General features: G+C 55.9%; 2 protein-coding genes and 1 long non-coding RNA gene across 5 annotated transcripts in view, besides 7 other annotated features; 2 read left to right on the top strand and 1 right to left on the bottom strand.

Moving 5' to 3' along the window:
* TULP1 (TUB like protein 1) lies at positions 1,113 to 16,135 on the top strand. 2 transcript variants are annotated; one of them, NM_003322.6, is made up of 15 exons: positions 1,113 to 1,197; positions 1,319 to 1,370; positions 1,739 to 1,829; positions 2,203 to 2,361; positions 2,999 to 3,148; positions 4,081 to 4,182; positions 4,259 to 4,375; positions 4,697 to 4,800; positions 7,730 to 7,735; positions 7,836 to 8,006; positions 8,156 to 8,268; positions 10,161 to 10,272; positions 10,352 to 10,450; positions 13,857 to 14,028; positions 15,549 to 16,135. In NM_003322.6, the coding sequence occupies exons 1-15, from the start codon at positions 1,151 to 1,153 to the stop codon at positions 15,680 to 15,682; spliced, it is 1,629 nt and encodes a 542-aa protein (NP_003313.3). In that variant the 5' UTR covers positions 1,113 to 1,150; the 3' UTR covers positions 15,683 to 16,135. The 2 variants fall into 2 exon arrangements, with proteins under 2 accessions (NP_003313.3, NP_001276324.1); NM_001289395.2 differs by lacking the exon at positions 2,203 to 2,361.
* Positions 5,448 to 5,648: a silencer, noted in NCBI's record as "peak5766 fragment used in MPRA reporter construct". NCBI's record gives its function as "represses an SCP1 promoter by STARR-seq MPRAs in K562 erythroleukemia cells {active_cell/tissue: K562}" and the evidence as "EXISTENCE:reporter gene assay evidence [ECO:0000049][PMID:32103011]".
* Positions 5,515 to 15,876, bottom strand: LOC124901309 (uncharacterized). The gene is made up of 2 exons (XR_007059561.1): positions 15,802 to 15,876; positions 5,515 to 5,782 (listed from the first exon to the last, which is right to left on the bottom strand). It is a non-coding gene; the product is annotated as an uncharacterized LOC124901309 (long non-coding RNA).
* Positions 15,094 to 16,023: an enhancer, noted in NCBI's record as "H3K27ac-H3K4me1 hESC enhancer chr6:35465763-35466692 (GRCh37/hg19 assembly coordinates)". NCBI's record gives its function as "activates a minimal SCP1, AML or CMV promoter by ChIP-STARR-seq in naive H9 embryonic stem cells {active_cell/tissue: H9 hESC(naive)}" and the evidence as "EXISTENCE:reporter gene assay evidence [ECO:0000049][PMID:30033119]".
* Positions 16,024 to 16,954: an enhancer, noted in NCBI's record as "H3K27ac-H3K4me1 hESC enhancer chr6:35464832-35465762 (GRCh37/hg19 assembly coordinates)". NCBI's record gives its function as "activates a minimal SCP1, AML or CMV promoter by ChIP-STARR-seq in naive H9 embryonic stem cells {active_cell/tissue: H9 hESC(naive)}" and the evidence as "EXISTENCE:reporter gene assay evidence [ECO:0000049][PMID:30033119]".
* Positions 16,423 to 16,752: a silencer, noted in NCBI's record as "silent region_17095". NCBI's record gives its function as "represses an Ori minimal core promoter by ATAC-STARR-seq in GM12878 lymphoblastoid cells {active_cell/tissue: GM12878}" and the evidence as "EXISTENCE:reporter gene assay evidence [ECO:0000049][PMID:35858748]".
* Positions 16,763 to 16,892: a silencer, noted in NCBI's record as "silent region_17094". NCBI's record gives its function as "represses an Ori minimal core promoter by ATAC-STARR-seq in GM12878 lymphoblastoid cells {active_cell/tissue: GM12878}" and the evidence as "EXISTENCE:reporter gene assay evidence [ECO:0000049][PMID:35858748]".
* TEAD3 (TEA domain transcription factor 3) overlaps positions 16,930 to 20,428 on the top strand; it is a 23,483-nt gene continuing 19,984 nt past the window's right edge. For both annotated transcript variants that reach the window (NM_001395214.1, NM_003214.4), the window contains exon 1: positions 16,930 to 17,111. The gene's annotated coding sequence lies outside the window, so the exon portion shown is untranslated. The remainder of the gene's footprint in view (positions 17,112 to 20,428) is intronic.
* Positions 17,073 to 17,122: a silencer, noted in NCBI's record as "silent region_17093". NCBI's record gives its function as "represses an Ori minimal core promoter by ATAC-STARR-seq in GM12878 lymphoblastoid cells {active_cell/tissue: GM12878}" and the evidence as "EXISTENCE:reporter gene assay evidence [ECO:0000049][PMID:35858748]".
* Positions 17,901 to 18,686: an enhancer, noted in NCBI's record as "H3K27ac-H3K4me1 hESC enhancer chr6:35463100-35463885 (GRCh37/hg19 assembly coordinates)". NCBI's record gives its function as "activates a minimal SCP1, AML or CMV promoter by ChIP-STARR-seq in naive H9 embryonic stem cells {active_cell/tissue: H9 hESC(naive)}" and the evidence as "EXISTENCE:reporter gene assay evidence [ECO:0000049][PMID:30033119]".

Genomic DNA, 20,428 nt, shown 5'->3' with positions numbered 1-20,428 from the left:
ATTTGATATGGATTTACTGTAATTAGCCAGGATCGTGCCACTGCACTCCAGCCTGGGTGACAAGAGCAAAATTCTGTCTAAAACAAAACAAAACAATACCACAAAAGCATGTCCCCTATCAGTGAAAAAAGAAAAAGAGTTAAGGGTATACCTCCAATACAGACATATTCTTTTTTTTTTTTTTTTTTCTGAGATGTAGTCTTGCTCTTTTTGGCCAGGCTGGAGTGCATTGGCAAGATCTCGGCTCACTGCAACCTCCGCCTCCCAGGTTCAAGTGCTTCTCCTGCCTCAGCCTCCCCAGTAGCTGGGACTACAGGTGCCCACCACGATGCCCAGCTAATTTTTTATTTATTTATTTATTTATTTTGAGACGGAGTCTCACTCTGTTGCCCAGGCAGGAGTGCAGTGGCATGATTTCCGCTCACTGCAAGCTCCGCCTCCCAGGTACACGCCATTCTCCTGCCTCAGCCTCCTGAGTAGCTGGGACTACAGGTGCCTGCCGCCATGCCCGGCTAATTTTTGCATTTTTAGTAGAGATGAGGTTTCACCATGTTAGCCAGGATAGTCTCGATCTCCTGACCTTGTGATCCGTCTGCCTCGGCCTCCCAAAGTGCTGGGATTACAGGGGTGAGCCACCGCACCCGGCTAATTTTTGAATTTTTAGTAGAGACTGGGTTTCACTGTGCCGGCCAGGCTGGCCTCGAACTCCTGACCTCAAATGATCCACCTGTCTCAGCCTCCCAAAGTGCTGGGATTACAGGTGTAAACCACCGCACCTGGCTCTAGTTCTTATTTTTTGTGAGAAATAAAGATAAATACAGGATCCAGTCTAATGTTTTCTTCCACATCCCATTGACAAATGACTAATCGGCCCCTCTCACCCCAAGCTTCTGGGGGCTTCTCGGGGCAGGTGGAGCTGGTGGCCATCCTGCAGGCTGCTGGGGATCTGAGAAGAACTGGAGTTGAGATTCTTCCCCCAGTGGCCTGGGCCTAGCAGGGGAGGGTCGTGGGCTGTAGCACCTCCCACAGCGCGGCCAGGCCTCCACTCCTTGAGCAGGGGGAAGGGGGGTGAAGTTGAGCCGAGATTAGCAGGAGTCGGGAGGGAGGCTCCTAGACCTGCAGAGAAAGGGGTGCGATAGGCAAAGGCACCATGCCTCTGCGGGATGAAACCCTCCGAGAGGTGTGGGCCTCTGACAGGTCTGGAAGGCCCCCAGTTCGTGGCACCTGAACCCTGGGGGGCCTAGATGGAGGGATGGGGAGTGGGTGGGATGGGGAGGGAAGGGGAAGGGAGACAGGCTGATCCCTTTGCTACCCTCAGTGGGCATGAAGAAGAAAGCCTGAGCCCGGAGGCCCCGCGGCGCCCCAAACAGGTATGCCACCCCACTTGGAAAGGAAGCAGAAAGATGTCCCCGCTGTGCGTAAACCCACGCAGGGTAGGGGGTCTAGGGGTGGGACAGGTCCCCCTTAGCAGGGTCTGGGGGTTGCATGTCTGGAGATCTGGGGGGAGAAAGGGCTGTTTGGGGACTTGGGGTTTCCAGGGAAGGAATAGGGACTTTGGAGCATTGGATATGGCCACGATGCATGGAAGGGGTCATCCTGCCTCACTCCAAGAAGGGGGCTGCAGTTCCCCCCGGATAATCTGCGGTTATTTCTGGCGGCTCAAGGGATTAGAGGGGGATGGGCGGGCCTCAGCGCCCCCCTTTCCTTCCTCGACCTCCTCTTGACCCCCGTTCCGCAGCGACCCGCCCCGGCACAGAGGCTAAGGAAGAAGAGGACGGAGGCCCCCGAATCCCCCTGCCCCACGGGATCCAAGCCCCGGAAGCCCGGAGGTGGGCGGGGTGCAGAGCCCGGGTGGACCCCCAGGGTGTGGGCTGCGGAAGGGAGGGGCTTGAGGGCCGGCGCGGGTGTCGCCGAGCCCTGGAACGGGGTGGGGGAGGAGGGGGCGGGGAGTGATGAGAGGGGAGGGATTGGGGTTGGGGTTGGGGTTGGGGTTGGTGTAGAAGGGGGTGGCGTTGGGGTAGAAGGGGGTGGGAAGCTGAATGGAAGCCGGGGAGAAGTGTTGAAAGTGGAAACCCAAGCCCAGGGGAGATCCCTAGGGTGAGGAGCCCGAGGGGGTGCGCCCAGGCTTGGGGGTAGCGGGTAGAGGCGCTGCCTCGCGGACCCGCGGATGGGACCCTGTCTGAACCCCGCATCTCGGCTCAGCTGGGCGGACGGGGAGGCCGCGGGAGGAGCCTTCCCCAGACCCAGCCCAGGCCCGGGCGCCGCAGACGGTCTACGCCAGGTTCCTCAGGGACCCCGAGGCCAAGAAGCGCGACCCCCGGGAAACCTTTCTGGTAGCCCGTGCCCCAGACGCGGAGGACGGTGAGAGAGGGCCCCAGGGACGCGGGTGAGGGGGCGGTGGAGCTAAGGAGAGAAGGGGCTGGCTGGACGGGAACGGCCCAGAGAGGCAGAAAACAACTGTAGTCAAATAGCCCCCACTTTTCTGGCCTTATCTTTGAGCCAGGTATTGTGCTAAGCACCAACTATGAGAGGGTGCTTTGTTCCCCCCCTCCACCATTGTACAGATGGAGAAACTGAGTCATAGAGCCGTTAAGGGTTTTTGCCTTAACCAGCAGTTAGGAGCCAGAAGTAGCCCAGATGGGTCTGACTCAAGGTCAGAAACAGACAAGGTCAGGGAGAAGCACAGTGGATGCAGGGAGATGGGGAAAGGAGGCAAGGCGAGCGTGTAAGGAGAGGAGGGTCTCAGGAGGAGAGAGGGAGGGCATTTCCCCAGGACAGGATTCCTCCAACCCCAGCCACTCCCCTGATTTGCAGACCCTGAAGGCTGCCAGTCACCCTCATTCTTCTGGGAAGGTGCCAGGTCTCCGGTTCTTGTTTCAGAAGGGCAGGCTCCCCTTCTGGTGCCCATGCACCACTTCCCAGCAGTCTGGAGGAACTGGGCTCCCCAGATAAGGAGGGCCCGGCTCAAACCCCCATTATGAAGAGTTTCTACCTGCAGAGGAGGAGGAGGAAGAGGAGGACGAGGAGGACGAGGAAGAGGAGGCAGAGGAAAAGAAAGAGAAAATCCTTCTGCCTCCCAAGAAGCCCCTGAGAGAGAAGAGCTCCGCAGACCTGAAGGAGAGGAGGGCCAAGGCCCAGGGCCCAAGGGGTGGGTGCTGAGGGTGCTGAGAGAGCTCACAGGGAAGCAGAACAGCCCTGTCCTTGGAGGGCTTGGCGTCTCACTGAGACACAGCGATTGAGGCCTCAAAATGAACCCAGTGCTGTGACCGGAGGGTTTTTCCTCTGATAATTTCTCCCCACGATGGTCCTTAAGGACATAGACCAATATATGCCTCCACCCCTGGCCCCACTGCCCCTGCCCCTTGAGCTCTGTGAGGCAGAGGAGGACAGAGGATTCTAGTTTTCTTTGTGATTTTTGTTTAGTTTTTGTTTTAACTCAGTGGAAATTGTTATCATTTTTATAAAAGTATCAAAGTGATTACAGTAAAAAGAAATCAATGAATCAATGCTGTGATGGTGTCCTGGCCTGGGCACATTACCTGTTAGGGACCAGCAGCCTGGCCTAGAGCTAGGACCTTGGGCCTCTGAAGCAGAGATAGCACACTCTGTAGTGGTGACCAGAGAAGGTTTCCTGGAGGACATGGGACAAAAGGCAGGATTCAGAGGCTCGGTTAGAAGGCCTGGTGTTCATTCATTCGGGAACTGCTTGTTAAGCTCCTGGTCTTTGTCCAGAGCTTTTTTGGCCTCAGGGAAAGAAAAACCAAAATGAGCAGAAGTCAATACAAAAATTAGCCAGGGGTGGTGGCGCGCGCCTGTAATCCCAGCTACTTGGGCGGCTGAGGCACAAGAATCACTTGAACCCTGGAGGTGGAGGTTGCAGTGAGCCGAGATCCTGCCACTGCATTCCAGCCTGGGCAACAGTGAGACTGTCTCAAAAAAAAAAAGAAAAAGAAGGCAGGCTGTGGGCCCCTGTCAAGCTTTCAGCCTCCCTGGGGACTATAGGCAGGACAAGAGGGTTGGAAGGCAGCCTTCAGCCCCAGTAGACACCTTCTTTGCCTGACCCCCATCTTCCATTTCCAGGAGACCTGGGAAGCCCTGACCCCCCACCGAAACCTCTGCGTGTTAGGAATAAGGAAGCTCCAGCAGGGGAGGGGACCAAGATGAGAAAGACCAAGAAGAAAGGTGAGCCCAGCCTAGGGAGGAACAGGGGACTCCAGTTGCGGTGGGGGTTGTGACGCTTTCACATCCACACATGCAGGGTCTGGGGAGGCCGACAAGGACCCCTCAGGGAGCCCAGCCAGTGCGAGGAAGAGCCCAGCAGCCATGTTTCTGGTTGGGGAAGGCAGTCCTGACAAGAAAGCCCTGAAGAAGAAAGGTGGATGGCAAGGGCTTCTGGTGTGGTGACATCTTGAGGTGGTCCTGGGGGCGGGGAGCTAGAGGGTCCTTACAGCATACAAGACAGTGCTAGGTAAGGAGTTTGCCAGGTCTAGAGTCAGACAACGTGCAGGGCATCTTGACCCCCGCTTTGATAGCTATGCGGTCTCAGGCAGGTGTCTTAGCCTTTTTGGGCTCTAATAATAACATGGGGTCGACTCTCTTGTGGTTGTGGGGAGCATCCAAGTGAGACATGGGTGTTGGAAGCACTTTGCAAACCAGGGTGAGGAGTTCACAGCCTTGTTTCCCCCTCCACGCTCAGGCACTCCCAAAGGCGCGAGGAAGGAGGAAGAAGAGGAGGAGGAGGCAGCTACGGTGATAAAGAAGAGCAATCAAAAGGGCAAAGCCAAAGGAAAAGGCAAAAAGGTTGGGGCCCAGAGGGGCAGGGGGCTGAGGTCCCTTCAGGGAGCAGAGGCAGGGGCCTGGACTTGGGAGCCTAGAGGGTGGGGGCTTGGAGCCACTTGAGGTTAGAACCTTGGCTCCCCCTCTTGTGACAGGATATAAGGACAAAGGAAACCAGATTTGTGCAAACAGAGGAGGCGTTTGTGGGGTCACCAGGCTAGGACTGGCCATGCAAGGGCCTTATGTCATCTGGGCTCTCTGAGGCCTCCCCTCTGGAGCATAACCATCAGACAGCCAGAGATGTCCCCACGCCCCCACCATGTTTTCTGTGCCAGGGAGGAGGAGCACACAGGCAGAGAGGCAGATGAGTACTGACTGACAGTCAGCTGCACCGGTTGTTAAAATGTTTCCACCCTACAGCCCTGAGCTCCCCAGGCGCTTTCACTCACCTTACCCAGGACCTCCCAACCTCCCAGCAACTAAACACTCCAGCAACGAAAGGGTTAATACTGCCCATCAGGAGCCTCCCTGTTTCTCCTCCAAGCTTACCAGTATGCATCTCCATGGCGAACAGGTTGTTAAATATTTTGAATATTGCCCCTGCTCCCAAACAGGACTCAGACACCAACACACAAAAGCTGGAGTAAGCAGGAGAGGGAGGTCCAACTGACAGAAAGTAACAAAAGTCTTCAAGGAACAGGTTTCTCCCAGTGGGAAGATCACCACGAGGACAGGGCCTGGATTTTAGCTTTGTAGGTTTATTAGTTTGTGCAGGAGTGGTCAGGTCTAGGGGGACTGATTCACATTAACCAAGATCACCAGATGCTGATGTACAAACTGAAAGGCCAGTTTACTGTCTCCCAGAGGGGAATGTAACTGCAGAACAGCCTTCAGTACAGTAGGCTCTTGAAATTTGCAGCTGCTGAAGTGTTTGAATAAGTTCTGGCTTTCTCCACATCGTGTTCCAAACATAGTCTTTTGTTTCCCAGGTTTCTTCTGGAACAACCTAGAGTAGAGAACAGGTGATCACTTGTCCCTGAGCTGAGGGTTCACTGCTCTACATCAGCCTCCCTCAAACACACTGCAAACCTGTGCTCAACAAAAACAGCCATGGCCAGGCAAAGTGGCTCATGCCTGTAATCCCAGCACTTTGGGAGGAGGAGGCAGATGGGTCACTTGAAGTCAGGAGTTCAAACCAGCCTGGCGAATAGTAGAGATGGTGAAACCCCATCTCTACTAAAAATACAAAAATTATCGGGGCATGGTGATGCGCACCTGTAGTCCCAGCTACTTAGGAGGATGAGGCAGGAGAATCACTTGAACCCAGGAGGTGGAGGCTGCAGCGAGCTGAGATCACGCCACTGCATTCCAGCCTGGGCAACAAGAGCGAGGCTCCATCTCAAAAAAATAAAAAATAAATTTTAAAAAATGGCCAACCACAGCACATCTTTGTGGATTCTTCGTGGCTCCCAAATAGCATTGAACCCTCAAATGCACACACCCAGGCTGGCAGTCCATGCTTGCCTCTGTTGGAAAAGTTGGGCTTAGACTCTTGGCTCCCTTCCTGTGAGGGATAGAACATGAGGACAAAGGGCACCAGGTTTGTGAGAACAGAAGGGGCTGTTGTGGGGTCACCAGGCCACCCTAGGGCTTTATGTCACCAAATTGTTCTTAGGAGTTTCTCAATGAGCAAAGTGAGCTTACATATTCATTCATGTGTTAACTATGCATTGCTATGTAACAAATCACCCCAAACTGAGCATCTTAAAACAACATTTACTTTCTTATTCAATTTCTGAGAGCCAGAAATCTAGGAGTGGCTTAGCAGAGTAGTTCTGGCTCAGGGTCTCGGAGGAAGCTGCAGTCAAAATGTCAGCTGGGGCTTCGGTCACTCTGAAGGCTTCACTGGAAATGAAGGATCCACTTCTAAAATAGTTCCCTGTGGTAGGTGTTAGCTGGAGATCTCAGTTCCTTCCTACAGGGACCTCTCCTGGAGGCTGCTTGAGTGTTCTTTTTTTTTTTTTTTTTTGCTTGAGTGTTCTTATGGCATGGCAGCCAACTTCTCCCAAAGTCCAAGAGACAGAGAGCCATATAGAAGCCACAATATCTTTTATGACCTAACCTTGGAGTGGCCCATGATCACTTCTGCCATATTCTACTGGTCACAGGGACCAACCCTGGTATGCAGTGGGAGGAGACTACACAAAGGCACAAATACCAGGAGACAAGGATCACTGGGTGCCATCTTATGATAATGAATATCATCTTGACTATGGTATTCATTATTTACTATACGCTAACAATAAGAGTAGCAGCTAACACTTCCATAGTGCTTAGAACACAGCAGTCCATTCTGTTAGCCCCACTTCACTGCCTGAGACAGTGTGCAAAGGAGGGAAGGTCTTTCTAAAGGCTCTGGACCTCATAGGAGATTGGACAAAACTCATGCCCCAGCCCCACCTCTTACTAGTTATGTGAACTTGGGCAAGTGACTTAACTTCTCTAAGCCTCAGTTTCTTCATCTATACAATGGGGATGACTATCGCAGTGGGGTGATAAGAGGATGAAATGAGTAAATATTTCGAAAGTACTTGAAACTATGGCACCCTGATAGAATTTATGCAAGCGTGTGTTAAATACATAGGTAAGGTCTGTCCCAGGTATCCACCCCTACTATACCTACTTCTCAGATGAGAAAATTGAGTTACAGTGTGGTGAAACTTAACAGTGAAGACAGTTAGTAGTGAAACTAGGATTTGAACCTAGACAGTCTGGCTCCAGAGTGTGTGCTCCTATCCACAAGCTAAGCAGAATCAAAATAAATCACAGAGCTCCCCAGAGCCTCCTAACTTGGCCGTGCCGGGCTGCCAGGGAGCATGAGGGGCAGTGGCTTCCCCGCCTCCAGGGATGCGGCCCCTGCTCTAGCCAGCCTCTCTGTTCTCTCCGCACACAGAAAGCGGTGAGTTGTCCTGCCGGGCTGCCCGTGTCTCAGCACTGGGACCTGCTGGGAGCGGGGGAGCTGGTGCTCTGGGGCTGATGTACCCTCTGCCCCCACCCAGAAGGAGGAGAGGGCCCCGTCTCCCCCCGTGGAGGTGGACGAACCCCGGGAGTTTGTGCTCCGGCCTGCCCCCCAGGGCCGCACGGTGCGCTGCCGGCTGACCCGGGACAAAAAGGGCATGGATCGAGGCATGTATCCCTCCTACTTCCTGCACCTGGACACGGAGAAGAAGGTGGGTGGGGAGAGGCAGCAGAGGAGGGAGTGTGGAGGGATCCGGCATGGGGGCCACGGGACAAACGGGCCTGATTTCTCCCTGCAGCTCACCTCCACCCCTTCCCACCTTCTCTTCCCATCCTCTCACCTGTCTCCCCTTTTCCCCAGGTGTTCCTCTTGGCTGGCAGGAAACGAAAACGGAGCAAGACAGCCAATTACCTCATCTCCATCGACCCTACCAATCTGTCCCGAGGAGGGGAGAATTTCATCGGGAAGCTGAGGTGGGGCTGGGCTTCCTGGGGCTGGGGGGACTTGGGTCAGCAAAAGGCCATAGCCCGTCATCTCTGTCCTGCTGTGCCTGGTAGAGCACCCACCACAGTGGGCACCCTGGAAACGTCCCCTAGCCTAGGGCCTCTCGCTTTGATGTACATAGATCATGTGGGGAGCTTGTTAAAATGGTTGAGTGTGTGGGGTGGGCCCGGGAGTCTACATTTTTAATGAGCACCCAGGCGATGCCCACACTGCTGCCAGCCCAGGGCCTCACTTGGAGCAGGGCATAAGTTCCACGAGGGCAGGCACTGTGCCTGCCTTGTTTAGGGCTGAATTCCTAGCACTGAACACATATTAGCTACTCAACAAGTATTTACTGATCAAGTGAATGAACATATATTCAGCACTATCCTGTGCTGTCTTCCCATACATCTCATCTAATCCTCACCACAAATCTGAGAGCTGAAGGAAGGGGATGCCTGAGTCAGGCCTTATTTCCTAAATGTATGTATTTAGGCTGGGCACAGTGGCTAATGCCTGTAATCCCAGCATTTTGGGAGGCCAAGGCGGGTGGATCACCTGAGGTCAGGAGTCCGAGATCAGCCTGGCCAACATGGTGAAACCCCGTCTCTATTAAAAATACAAAAATTAGCCAGGTGTGGTGGCATGCACCTGGAGTCCCAGCTACCTGGGAGGCTGAGGTGGGAGAATCTCTTGAACCCAAGACGGGGAGGTTGCAGTGAGCTGGGATCATGCCACTGCACTTCCAGCCTGGGTGACAGACCAAGACCCTGCCTCAAAAATAAATGAATAAATAAATGTATGTATTTAACAAAACTTTTATAAGGCCTATTTATGTGTCAGGTGTGATTCTAAGTCACTTCCAGGCCAGGCGTGATGGCTCACACCTGTAATCCCAGCACTTTGGGAGGCTGAGGCGGGCGGATCACAAGGTCAGGAGATCAAGACCACCCTGGCTAACACAGCGAAACCCCGTCTCTACTAAAAATACAAAAAAAAAAAAATTAGCCCAGCGTGCTGGCAGGCCCTGTAGTCCCAGCTACTCAGGAGGCTGAGGCAGAAGAATGGCGTGAACCCGGGAGGCGGAGCTTGCAGTGAGCAGAGATCATGCCACTGCACTCCAGCCTGGGCGACAGAGTGAGACTCAGTCTGAAAAAAATAAAGAAAAAAAAAGTCACTTCCAAATGTTAACCCATTCAATCCTCTTATTGTCCAAATGAGGGAAATGCTGTTGCTCAGCCCATTTTATAGATGGGGAAGTTGGGGCTCAGAGAGTTTAAATACCTTGCCTAAGATCTCACAGCTAGTAATAGTAAGAGATGGAGTTGGGATTTTAACACTGCCTAGTCTCCTTGTAGATTCAGCCCTTTTTTTTGTTTTGTTTTGGAGACTGGGTCTTACTCTGTCGCCCAGGCTGGAGTGCAGTGATGTGATCAAGGCCATGGCTCACTGCAGCCTCGACCTCCCAGGCTCAAGTGATCCTCCCACCTTAGCCTCCTGAGTAGCTGGGACTACAGGCACATGCCACCGTGCCTAGATAATTTGGCAGGTGGGGGGCAGAGGGCGGGTGTTTTTTGTAGAGACAGCGTTGTCTGCCATGTTGCCCAGGCTGGTTTCCAACTCCTGGACTCAAGCGATCCTCCCTCCTCTGACTCCCAAAGTGCTGGGATTACAAGCTTGAGCCACCATGCCCTGGGTTGGGCCAGCATTTAAAAAGACCTCTGCATAGGGGGAAGCCTGGGGCAGGGGACATGAATTGCTCAGTCCTAACTCACCCCCACCCTTGTAGGAAGCTCTCTAAACTGCTTGGCTGTGTGGAAGGGGCCTGGGGCAGGGATGTAGGATCCCCTCAGCCCCACCCCAAGCTCTACCCTGCTTGCAGGTCCAACCTCCTGGGGAACCGCTTCACGGTCTTTGACAACGGGCAGAACCCACAGCGTGGGTACAGCACTAATGTGGCAAGCCTTCGGCAGGAGCTGGCAGCTGTGATCTATGTGAGGACTCCACCTGTCCCCCATGCCAGGCTGCTCCCCTTACAGGGGCTGGCCTCACAGGCATCTGTTTCCTTCCCAGGAAACCAACGTGCTGGGCTTCCGTGGCCCCCGGCGCATGACCGTCATCATTCCTGGCATGAGTGCGGAGAACGAGAGGGTCCCCATCCGGCCCCGAAATGTGAGCCCCGCACCTCCCTGGCCCCTGGCTCCCTATGTGAGAAACAGGAGTCGGGGCTCAGCTTAGGAAATAGCCAACTCCCTGAGCACATCCATCACCCTCCAACACAAATTCATTCTGGCCACCTAGGGAATGGACTTGGGCTTTTTGTAATTGAATTCACTGAAAAACCACAATGGGCTTTTTGGTTGTTTTTGGAGTTTACATCAAATTCATATATTACATCCATTCATATCTTCATTGACCACACATATTGAGTGCCAAGTATTATCCTAGGCACCTGGAAGACATCAGTGGACAAAACAAAGATCTGCACCCCTGGGCCGGGCGCGGTGGCTCACGCCTGTAATCCCAGCACTTTGGGAGGCCGAGATGGGCGGATCACGAGGTCAGGAGATCGAGACTATCCTGGCTAACATGGTGAAACCCCGTCTCTACTAAAAATACAAAAAAATTAGCCGGGCATGGTGGCGGGCGCCTATAGTCCCAGCTACTTGGGAGGCTGAGGCAGGAGAATGGCGTGAACCTGGGAGGCGGAGCTTGCAGTAAGCCGAGATGGTGCCACTGCACTCCAGCCTGGGCGACAGAGCAAGACTCCATCTCATAAAAAACAAAACAAAACAAAACAAAAAAACCAAAGCTCTGCCCCCCTGAAGCTGGCATTCTAGTGGGAGGAGAGTGACAGTAGACAATAATCGTGATAAATAAGTAAATTATGGAGCATACTGGAAGGTGGTAAGTGCTATGGTGAAAAATGTCAGACCAGGTGCAGTGGCTCACACCTGTATCCCCAGCACTTTGGGAGGACAAGGTGGGCGGATCACTTGAGGTCAGGAGTTCGAGACCAGCCTGGCCAACATGGCTAAACCCCGTCTCTACTAAATATACAAAAATTAGCCGGGCGTGGCAGTGGGCAACTGTAATCTCACCTGTTTACTCAGGAGGCTGACGCAGGGAGTATTGCTTGAACCCGGGAAGCAGAGGTTGCAGTGAGGCAAGATCACGCCACTGCACTCCAGCCTGGGCAACAGAGCGACACTCTGTCTCAAAAATTAAAAAAAAAATGTTGCCAGCCATGGTGGCTCACGCTTGTGACCCCAGCATTTTGGGAGGCCAAGCTGGGCAGATCACGAGGTCAGGAGTTTGAGACCAGCCTGGCCAACGTGGTAAAATCCCGTCTCTACTAAAAATACAAAAATTAACTGGGCATGGTGACAGGCGCCTGTAATCCCAGCTACTCAGGAGACTGAGGCAAGAGAATCACTTGAACCCCGGAGGCGGAGGTTGCAGTGAGCCAAGATCACGCTGCTGCACTCCAGCCTGGGTGACAGAGCTAGACTCCATCTCAAAATAAATAAATAAATAAATAATAAAAAATAAAAAGAAAAAATTTAAAAAGAAAAAAGTCAAACAGGGGAAGGTAGATAATAAGTGTGTAAGTCTCAATATTAAATATGGTTGTCAAAGCAGACCTCAATGAGAAGGTGAGGGAGTGAGCCTACAGATATCTGGGGGAAGAGCACCTGGGCAGTGGGAAGAGCCAGTGCAAAGGTCCTGTGGCAGGAGGGGCCCTGGTGGACTGGAGGAACCACCAGGTGACCAGTGTGGCTGGGGGGAGAGGAGGTCAGAGAAGTGAGGGGTAGACAGGGTCTTTAAAACTGATTTTTGCTCTGAGAGAAATGGGAAGCTACAGCAGGGTTTTGAGCAAAGGAGTGACATGACTTGTTTTTGTTTTTGTTTTTGTTTTGAGACGGAGTCTCGCTCTGTAACCCAGGCTGGAGTGCAATGGCCTGATCGCAACTCACTGCAACCTCTACTTCCCAGGTTCAAGAGATTCTCCTGCCTCAGCCTCCCGAGTAGCTGGGATTACAGGTGCATACCACCATGCTCAGCTAATTTTTGTATTTTCAGTAGAGACGCGGTTTTGCCATGATGGCCAGGTTGGTCTTGAACTCCTGACCTCAAGTGACCCACCTGCCTCAGCCTCCCAAAGTGCTAGGATTACAGGCCTGAGCCACTGTGCCCAGCCTTTTTTTTTTTTTTTTTTTTCTGAGACCGAGTCTCACTCTGGGTCTCACTCCAGCCCAGGCTAGAGTACAGTGGTATGATCATGACTTACTGCAGCCTCGACCTCCTGGCTTCAAACAGTGCTGCTTCCTGCCTCAGCCTCTCATGTAGCTGAGACCCTAGGCACATGCCACCATACCTGGCTAGTTTTTTGTAGAGCCAGGGTCTCACTTTGTTGCCCAGGCTGGTCTTAAATTCCTGAAGTGATCCTCTCGTCTCGGCTTCTCAAAGTGTTGGGATTATATGCGTGAGCCACTGTGCTTGGCATGACTTGTATTTTAAAAAGCAAAAGTTGTTTTGCGTGTGTGTGTGTGTGAGTTTAAGATGGAGAGATGTTCTGGAGAGACGTGTCAGTCCCGTGCTCTGCTCTTTAGCACTGCAGGTCCAGTGAGTCCAGGATTTAAGAGACTCTGGGTGACTCGCATGCCCCATCCTCACAGGAGACTGATGTCATTTTACTCATTTACAATGAAAGATAATACCCCGTCAGCTGATCACACATCCTTCCCTGCTGGAAAGTCACGGCCCAGGCTGATCTGCAGGGCACCAGTCATGGGAGGCTCAGTCTTGAGGGTTCACTCAGCCTGTGGGCCCCACAGTTGTCCTTCCTATGCCTGGAATAAACACACAAATCCCCCAGAGGCAGCATCTCCTGCCCTTGTTTGGGCCCAGTAAGAAATGCCTGGTGCTGTTTCGGGTCTCTCTTTTGCCAATTACAGTGCAGTGGGAGGAATGGTAAGAGCAAGGTGTCATGGAAACTCAGAGCTGAGACATCTAAATCAGATGGGGGGTCAGGAAGGCTTCTTGGAGGTGATCTTGAGTGGACTCACTCTAATCCATGAACGTGAGCAGGCGACAAGGAAACTCAAGAAAGAAAGATCTTAAGGGCACATTATACAGACCCTGCTCCTTCCTTTCAGAAACTCTCCTCCAAGTACACTTTCTCTTAACTGCAATTTACCTATCCATCTCCCCAGCTCAACTGTGTGCCCTTTGCAGGTCCAAGATTGGCTCATCCTGTCATTAGGTACTGGTGTGTGTCTGTCTCCTAAGACCACCTGGGTACCAATGGCATGGAGCGCCTATGTGCCAGATGCCCCTTGCCATTTTCCAGCCCTCCGCTTTGACATCCCAGAGACAAAGCCCCATTCTCACAGATGTGAACCCTGTCCACAAGGATGCCACAGATGCCAAGCCTATTCTCAGATACCCTAATGGATGAAGATGTCCAGGCCACACCCCTGTGCACACATGCCCAGGCCCCTTCTCCGGTCAGTCCTGAGCCATCTCAGCCATCTCTAACTGTCCTCTCCCTGTCTACTCCCCTGGGGCACCCCAGGCTAGTGACGGCCTGCTGGTGCGCTGGCAGAACAAGACGCTGGAGAGCCTCATAGAACTGCACAACAAGCCACCTGTCTGGAACGATGACAGTGGCTCCTACACCCTCAACTTCCAAGGCCGGGTCACCCAGGCCTCAGTCAAGAACTTCCAGATTGTCCACGCTGATGACCGTGAGTACCTGAGGGCCCAGGTCTGGCTCTTCTCCACCACCCCCAGGATGCTGACCTTCATTCAAGCTCCCCTCACCCCCTCACACACACACACACCAGCCTTTATCCCGAGAGCTGGGACATCCCACAGGGTCACTCTCTCCTCCATAGGCACTGACACTGTGCTCTCAGGAGCCTCAGATATTCTAAGCAGGTGTCTTGGGGCTCATCACTTCAGGTTCCCATTCCAGCATTGGCCAGAGCAGTGGGTTAGATACTGGGACATTCTGGATAAGATTGTGTTGAAGGGAGGGTTGGCTCCTAGAGTCTGAAAACCACGGACAGCCCAACTCCTCTTTGTTCAAAGAGAGTGCTGAGGCTCAGAGAGGGCAGCCCTTTGCCCAGAGTCTCTCAGCAACTTCAGGAAGTTACACTGGCCCTCGAAATTTATTTCACAAAACTTACACAGTGTTTACTATGTGCCAGGCACTGTTCTCAGGATTTTACAGATAACTGAATCATTAAATCCCTTCAACGTCCCTGTGAAGAGTGCCATTATTATCCCTATTTGGCAGGAAACTAAGGCACAGAGAGGTTAAGCAACTTGCCCACGGTCACATCACTAGTAGGAGGTAGAGCTGACAGTCTGGATCTCCAGTGGCCATGCTCTTAATCTCTTCAAGATGGTTGCCTTTTAGGGGCAGGGAATATTAAGCATTTTTGAGTGCCTACTCTGTGTCTTCTCTCAAGTGAGGTCAAAGGACTACCCTGGAAGACTCAGGGAAACAAGGTGTCCCTGTTACAAGCCTTGGTTGGAAAGGCTTCCTTCCCACTAGGGTGAGGAAGTTTGGGGATGGAAGGGTATCTCCCATAAGTCTCTGGGTTCACAGGGTTGGACCAACATTGAGCGAGCCCCAACTGCATCCTAGGGATGTGCCCCCAGTGCCACCTGTCCTGTGGCTGTGGGACTGCTCTCCAGATCACGTTTCTGGTGGAGCCTCGTCCACCTGAGTTTGGGGGTATTTTTAGCAACTTCCTGTCCCTATGGATCCTGGGGGAGGTGCTGAGGTTGGGGCTGGGAACCTGGATCATTGAAGGGAGAGGTGCCCAGTGAGGCTGAGGAAGGGAACCAGGGGCTAGTCAAGGGGTGGAGCTGGGGTCTAAGGTGGGACTTCGTGGCTGGGGATAGGAGGAAAGACTGTGGCCAGAAACAACAGAGAATTTGGGAAGGAAGAATGCTGGGCTTGGATAAATTTGACAGGGTCCTATAGTTAATCAGGTGCGGGCTCTAGGCATGGCCTGTGGCAGCAGCAGAAAGGCAAGGTCCCTGCCCCCAGGAGATTATAGTGTGACTGCAAAGCCACGTGGTGCTGGTGTGGAGTGAGATAGAAGAAGGGATGGGTGTTGAGTAACTGAGATGGTGGCTGAGGGTTGGAGCCCCAAGGCAAGGGACAGACTGCCCCCAAGGTTGAGGGCACTGTCTGCCAGGATGGGGGTCCAAGGAGGTCTCGGGCCGCCCCCACCCCGTCTTGTGTCCATAGCCGACTATATCGTGCTGCAGTTCGGCCGCGTGGCGGAGGACGCCTTCACCCTAGACTACCGGTACCCGCTGTGCGCCCTGCAGGCCTTCGCCATCGCCCTCTCCAGTTTCGACGGGAAGCTGGCCTGCGAGTGACCCCAGCAGCCCCTCAGCGCCCCCAGAGCCCGTCAGCGTGGGGGAAAGGATTCAGTGGAGGCTGGCAGGGTCCCTCCAGCAAAGCTCCCGCGGAAAACTGCTCCTGTGTCGGGGCTGACCTCTCACTGCCTCTCGGTGACCTCCGTCCTCTCCCCAGCCTGGCACAGGCCGAGGCAGGAGGAGCCCGGACGGCGGGTAGGACGGAGATGAAGAACATCTGGAGTTGGAGCCGCACATCTGGTCTCGGAGCTCGCCTGCGCCGCTGTGCCCCCCTCCTCCCCGCGCCCCAGTCACTTCCTGTCCGGGAGCAGTAGTCATTGTTGTTTTAACCTCCCCTCTCCCCGGGACCGCGCTAGGGCTCCGAGGAGCTGGGGCGGGCTAGGAGGAGGGGGTAGGTGATGGGGGACGAGGGCCAGGCACCCACATCCCCAATAAAGCCGCGTCCTTGGCCAAGCGGAGCGGTGGTTCCTCAGCGCGTGCGGAGAACGAGGCGGCAGGAGGCGTCCGAGGCGCGAGCTGGAAGTCTCAACCCCCGTCCCACTCCTGCCCAGGCCCCGGGCGCTCCCGCGTCCCCTCCCCGCGCCCGTCGCGGGTCCTACCGAAACTCGGCGGCCGCACAGCGTCGAGACGCCCCCCGTGGGGGCCCGGGGAGCCGGGGCGAAAGGGAGGGTCCCGGAGGTCGGGGAAGAGGGAGAAAGGGAGAAGAAATTCGAGAAACTAGCCACGCGGGGAGAACCAGACAAACCGGGTCCCGGCAGGGCGGGCGCAGCCGCCAGGGCGGAGCCGGGTCTGGGGCCCCGGGAGTGGGGGGCAGGCCCGCGAGCTGGAGGGTACGCTCCGCCTTGGCGGCTCGGGACTAGGGTGGAGGGGCCGGGAGCCCCGGGGCCCGTGCGCTCCGGCTCTGCCGGGCTCCTCGTGACGCGGCACCCACGGCCCCCGGCACCGACGGGAGCCCTGCCCGCGAGGCGAGGGCTCCGCCCTCGGCCCCGCCCCAGGCCGGAGCCCCAAATTCCGGCGGGTGCCCGGGAGCGGGGCGAGGCCCGGAGCGCAGGGGGAGGAAGGCAGCTCCGCACGGGCGGGCGAGGAGCGGGGCGCCCAGGCGCGCGCCAGCCGGGGTGGCCGGGTCGCGAGGCCGCGGGGTAGGCGGCCCGAGCGCGGCTGGACGGCCCCGCCCCTCCCGGCCAGCACCGCCCCCTGCGCGCCCCGCCCCCTCCTTCCCGCAGCCCCCACCCCCGCCCCGGCTCCTCAACACAAACTTTCCGTCCCGCTCGCTCCCTCCTCCGCGCTCGGCGCCTCCCGCTCCAGCCCGGCTCATTCCGCACATTCCGGCCAGCCCCCTCCCCACGACCCCCCTTCCCCGGCCCCCCTTGCGGCTCCCTCGGGCCCGGCGGAGCGGCCCGGCCGGAGCGCCCCCGCGAGCTCGGACCAGGTAAGCCGGGCGGACGCCGGGAGGAGGCCCCGCTCGGGAGAGGTGGTTTGGTTGGTCGGCTGGGCTGGCTGGGGGGGCGACACTCGAGGGGGACTGGGTCCCCGAGCTATTGTCCAGCCGGAGCTGGAGCCCCGGATCGGGGTGCCGGGAAGTTTAGAGGGAAGGGGGAAAATCTCTCCGGGAAGCCCCGCCCCCCGCCCTCCCCACCCCCCCGCGACGGGGACGAGTTGGTCCGGGAAGGTGGGGAAGCCGGGGAGACCGTGTCCCCTGTGCCGTCGCCTGTCCCGCCGTCCGTGCTTGGGGGGTCGGGGCGGGGATCCGGGGGCCGCACAGTGTGGAGGGCCTGCCTGCCACCCTGGAGCTCATATCCGGGGCGCCCAGTCCCGGGCCCCGCCGCCCTTTGGACTCCCGGCCCGCGCGCTCCCGGAGCCCGCCCGGCCTCAGCTCCACGCAGGCCTCGGGCCCGGCCTCCCAGCGCCCAGGCCGGTTTCTGCGCGCGGTGCCGCGGCTGCGCTGGGTTGTGGAGGGTGTCTGGGACCAAAGCCGCGCGCCCCGGCCGTGTGTCCCCTGAGAGGCAGGGAGGGGCTCACGTTCCCTTCAGTTCTGCCGCCTGCGTCGGGGTGCTGATTCAGAGTTCCAGCCCTGAGCGCTGTGAGCTTGGCTCGGAGGGGTCTGGATTTGGGGCCTTTTCTTCCCCACACTTGCTCAGGGCCCTTGTTTAGACTTGACAAGGTTTGAGGGTGGCTGGTCTCCCGCTTCCTACCCCGGTCCCCACCATTGTCTGTCATGCCCTTTATTCCTGCTAGGGGAGGGAGGGCTGGGAGCGCTGGTCTGGATCTGTTTTCCAGCCCAGCTGGGCCCTGGGGCAGTGTCATTGAGACCCCGCTCTGTCAACTTTCCTGGTGAGGGGCCCTGATCCAGGGCTGAGAGATTCTTTCAGTGCGAGGGGGAAGGAGGCCTTGGGGCGGACTTCTCAGGGGCTGTCTTCTTCTGTGTCTTCCCTCTTTCCAGGTAGGGGCAGAACCAGGTCAGGCCTGGACTTGTTGTCCGGAAGAACAGGGCATAGGGGTAGGGGCTGGACACAGCTCAGAGGGGCTGGTGCCCATAGCGGCTCTGCGTATCCAGTCTCTTGTGGCCTGGTTCTCTGTACACATGTTCCACCCCAGTGCTGGGGCCACCTGGGGCAAGGAGGGGAGGCTTTCCTCAAAAGTTGGAGATTTGGGGGAATTATGTCCTCTCCCTTCTAGACTCCTGTAGCCCCCCTCCCACCAAGACCCCTCTCGTAGGGGCACTCCCTAAAGGATGTGGTTCTGTGGTCTTCTGGGTCCCTGCTCACCCAGTGGGCAGAGTGCACAGATCTTCCAGGACAAGGCTGTCCAGTAAGGGTAACTTCAGGGGCCCTGGATGCCCCCTCCTCAGGGAGAGGGTAGGAGCCAGTATGAGTCCCAAGCTCTTGGGCCTTCCCCTACCCCCCCAGGGAGGGAACGTCATTAATGCTAATGAGCGCATCTGGGCTGGGGAATGGCTTGTTAGAGTGGTCAGTGGTTGCCAGGACAGAGCAGCACATTAAGTGTACAGAAGCATCACATGGGTCCTGAGCCCTGCTCCCATCCTCACCCAAAGGTTTGTAGACCCTGGCACTTTCTGCCAACTGAAGGAATGTTAAAACCGGGAGGATTTGATATTCTCAACAATATCAAAGGAGAAGATATCTCAACAGAGGTGGTCAAGAAATAGGGATCTGGTCCCCTCCGGACCTTTAACCAGTTGCGCCATCTTGGCAGGCCCCTTTGGGCCTCAGTTTCCCTGCTTGGAATGAATGACTTCTCAAGTCCCTTTTCTCTGAGCTCCTCCCAGAGTCTGTCTCCCAGTTTGCCTTCCTTCTCCCATGATGGAACCTGAACTTGGTGGGGTCTGGAGAGGCGGGTGGGTGATCCAGTGGCCCAAAGAAGAAGGCAAGGACAAACCAAGGGGTGACTGAGGAGTAGCTCAGCCAGATGAACAGGGCTGAAAAGGTGGCGGGGGGCAGGTGTCAAGGGACAGGGGGGCTTGGTGGATTGGGGGATCTTGCCTCTGAAGTGGTCATGGGTTCTGTTAGGGCTGAATGGCACAAAGGGTGCTCAGAGGCCGCTTGGGTGGCTCTACCCTCTGCCCCACTCCCAGACACCTGTGGGGGTCCCAGGGCTCAGTGTGGAAATCGCTGGTCCTGCCCTCCTCCTCCTCCCCGCCCAGGATGGGGAGAGGAGCCCAGGGGTCTAAACGCTGCAGCTTTCTGTGAAGGGGCTAGGAGGTCGCAGCCTCTTCTTCCCACATGGGGGCTGCAGAAGCTGTGGGGTCCCAGGGGTGGCCCTGAGGATCTGCCTCTGGGTAGAGCTGGGGAGGTCAGCAGGTCACACTCGGCACTGTCCCTGGGGCCTTGCCCTGCCTTCCCTCCCCTCCCCTCCTGGTGTTGTGCCAGCCCTGGGCTGTCTGCAGAAGGGGCCACTTCCCTCCAGGGAGAACCCTGCCAGGGAAAGGGCTCTGCCTGTCTTCCCCGACCCACAGGAGGTTGAGGTTAGGGCCAGAGAGGTTCATCCCCCTGCACATCCCTAAAGCCTCAGCCCTTGGGGTTTCCTAGAGTGCCGATTGTTTCCTGTGCTCCCTGCCAGGCCTGAAAGGGCAGGAAGTGTTAGAGGGAAATGAGAATGCAACTGTGTGTGACGCTGGATGTGTGTGAGAGAAGCCATGAGTGGGACATTCTATGTGGGTGAGACTTGTCTTCTGTGGGGCTGGATGTGTGTGGAAGAGAACCTTGGTCAGAGCAACTTGTGCAGGGCTGGGTGTATGCAGGAGAGAAACTGTGGCTTTGTGACATTCGTGTGTGTGACAGATATACACGTCCATAAGAGAAACTGGGTGACTCTTCATGTGTCCAGGTGTGCCGCCACCTCTGTACCTGAGAACCTGCATGGGGGATGTTCTGTGTGTGCCAGGGCATCACCCAGGATGTGCCGATGAAGGAAGCTGGCTGCCTAGCCATCTGTGTGTACCTGGAGATGACACTGGGTGTGGCTCTGATGCTCAAGTGACCTGCGTGTGAAGGACACCGCACTCGCACGATGCTGTGTGTATGTGAGCGCGCGGGCGCGTGTGCGTGAGAAGCCGGATGAGTGGCGATCTGTGTGATGTGTTACGCTGTGGTGTGACCACTTGTGACCTGCATGTTGTGACGCAGCATGTGAGATGGCCTCAGGTTTGTCTGTGTGTGACTTACATGTGACACTACATGCGAGTAAAACAACATGACCAGCTCTGTGTCAGTATGATGTGTGTACCAG

Source organism: Homo sapiens, chromosome 6 (assembly GCF_000001405.40).
Source record: "Homo sapiens chromosome 6, GRCh38.p14 Primary Assembly".
Lineage (NCBI taxonomy): Eukaryota > Metazoa > Chordata > Mammalia > Primates > Hominidae > Homo > Homo sapiens.
Note: the sequence above shows the minus strand (reverse complement) of the source record. Positions and strands in the feature narration are given on the sequence as shown.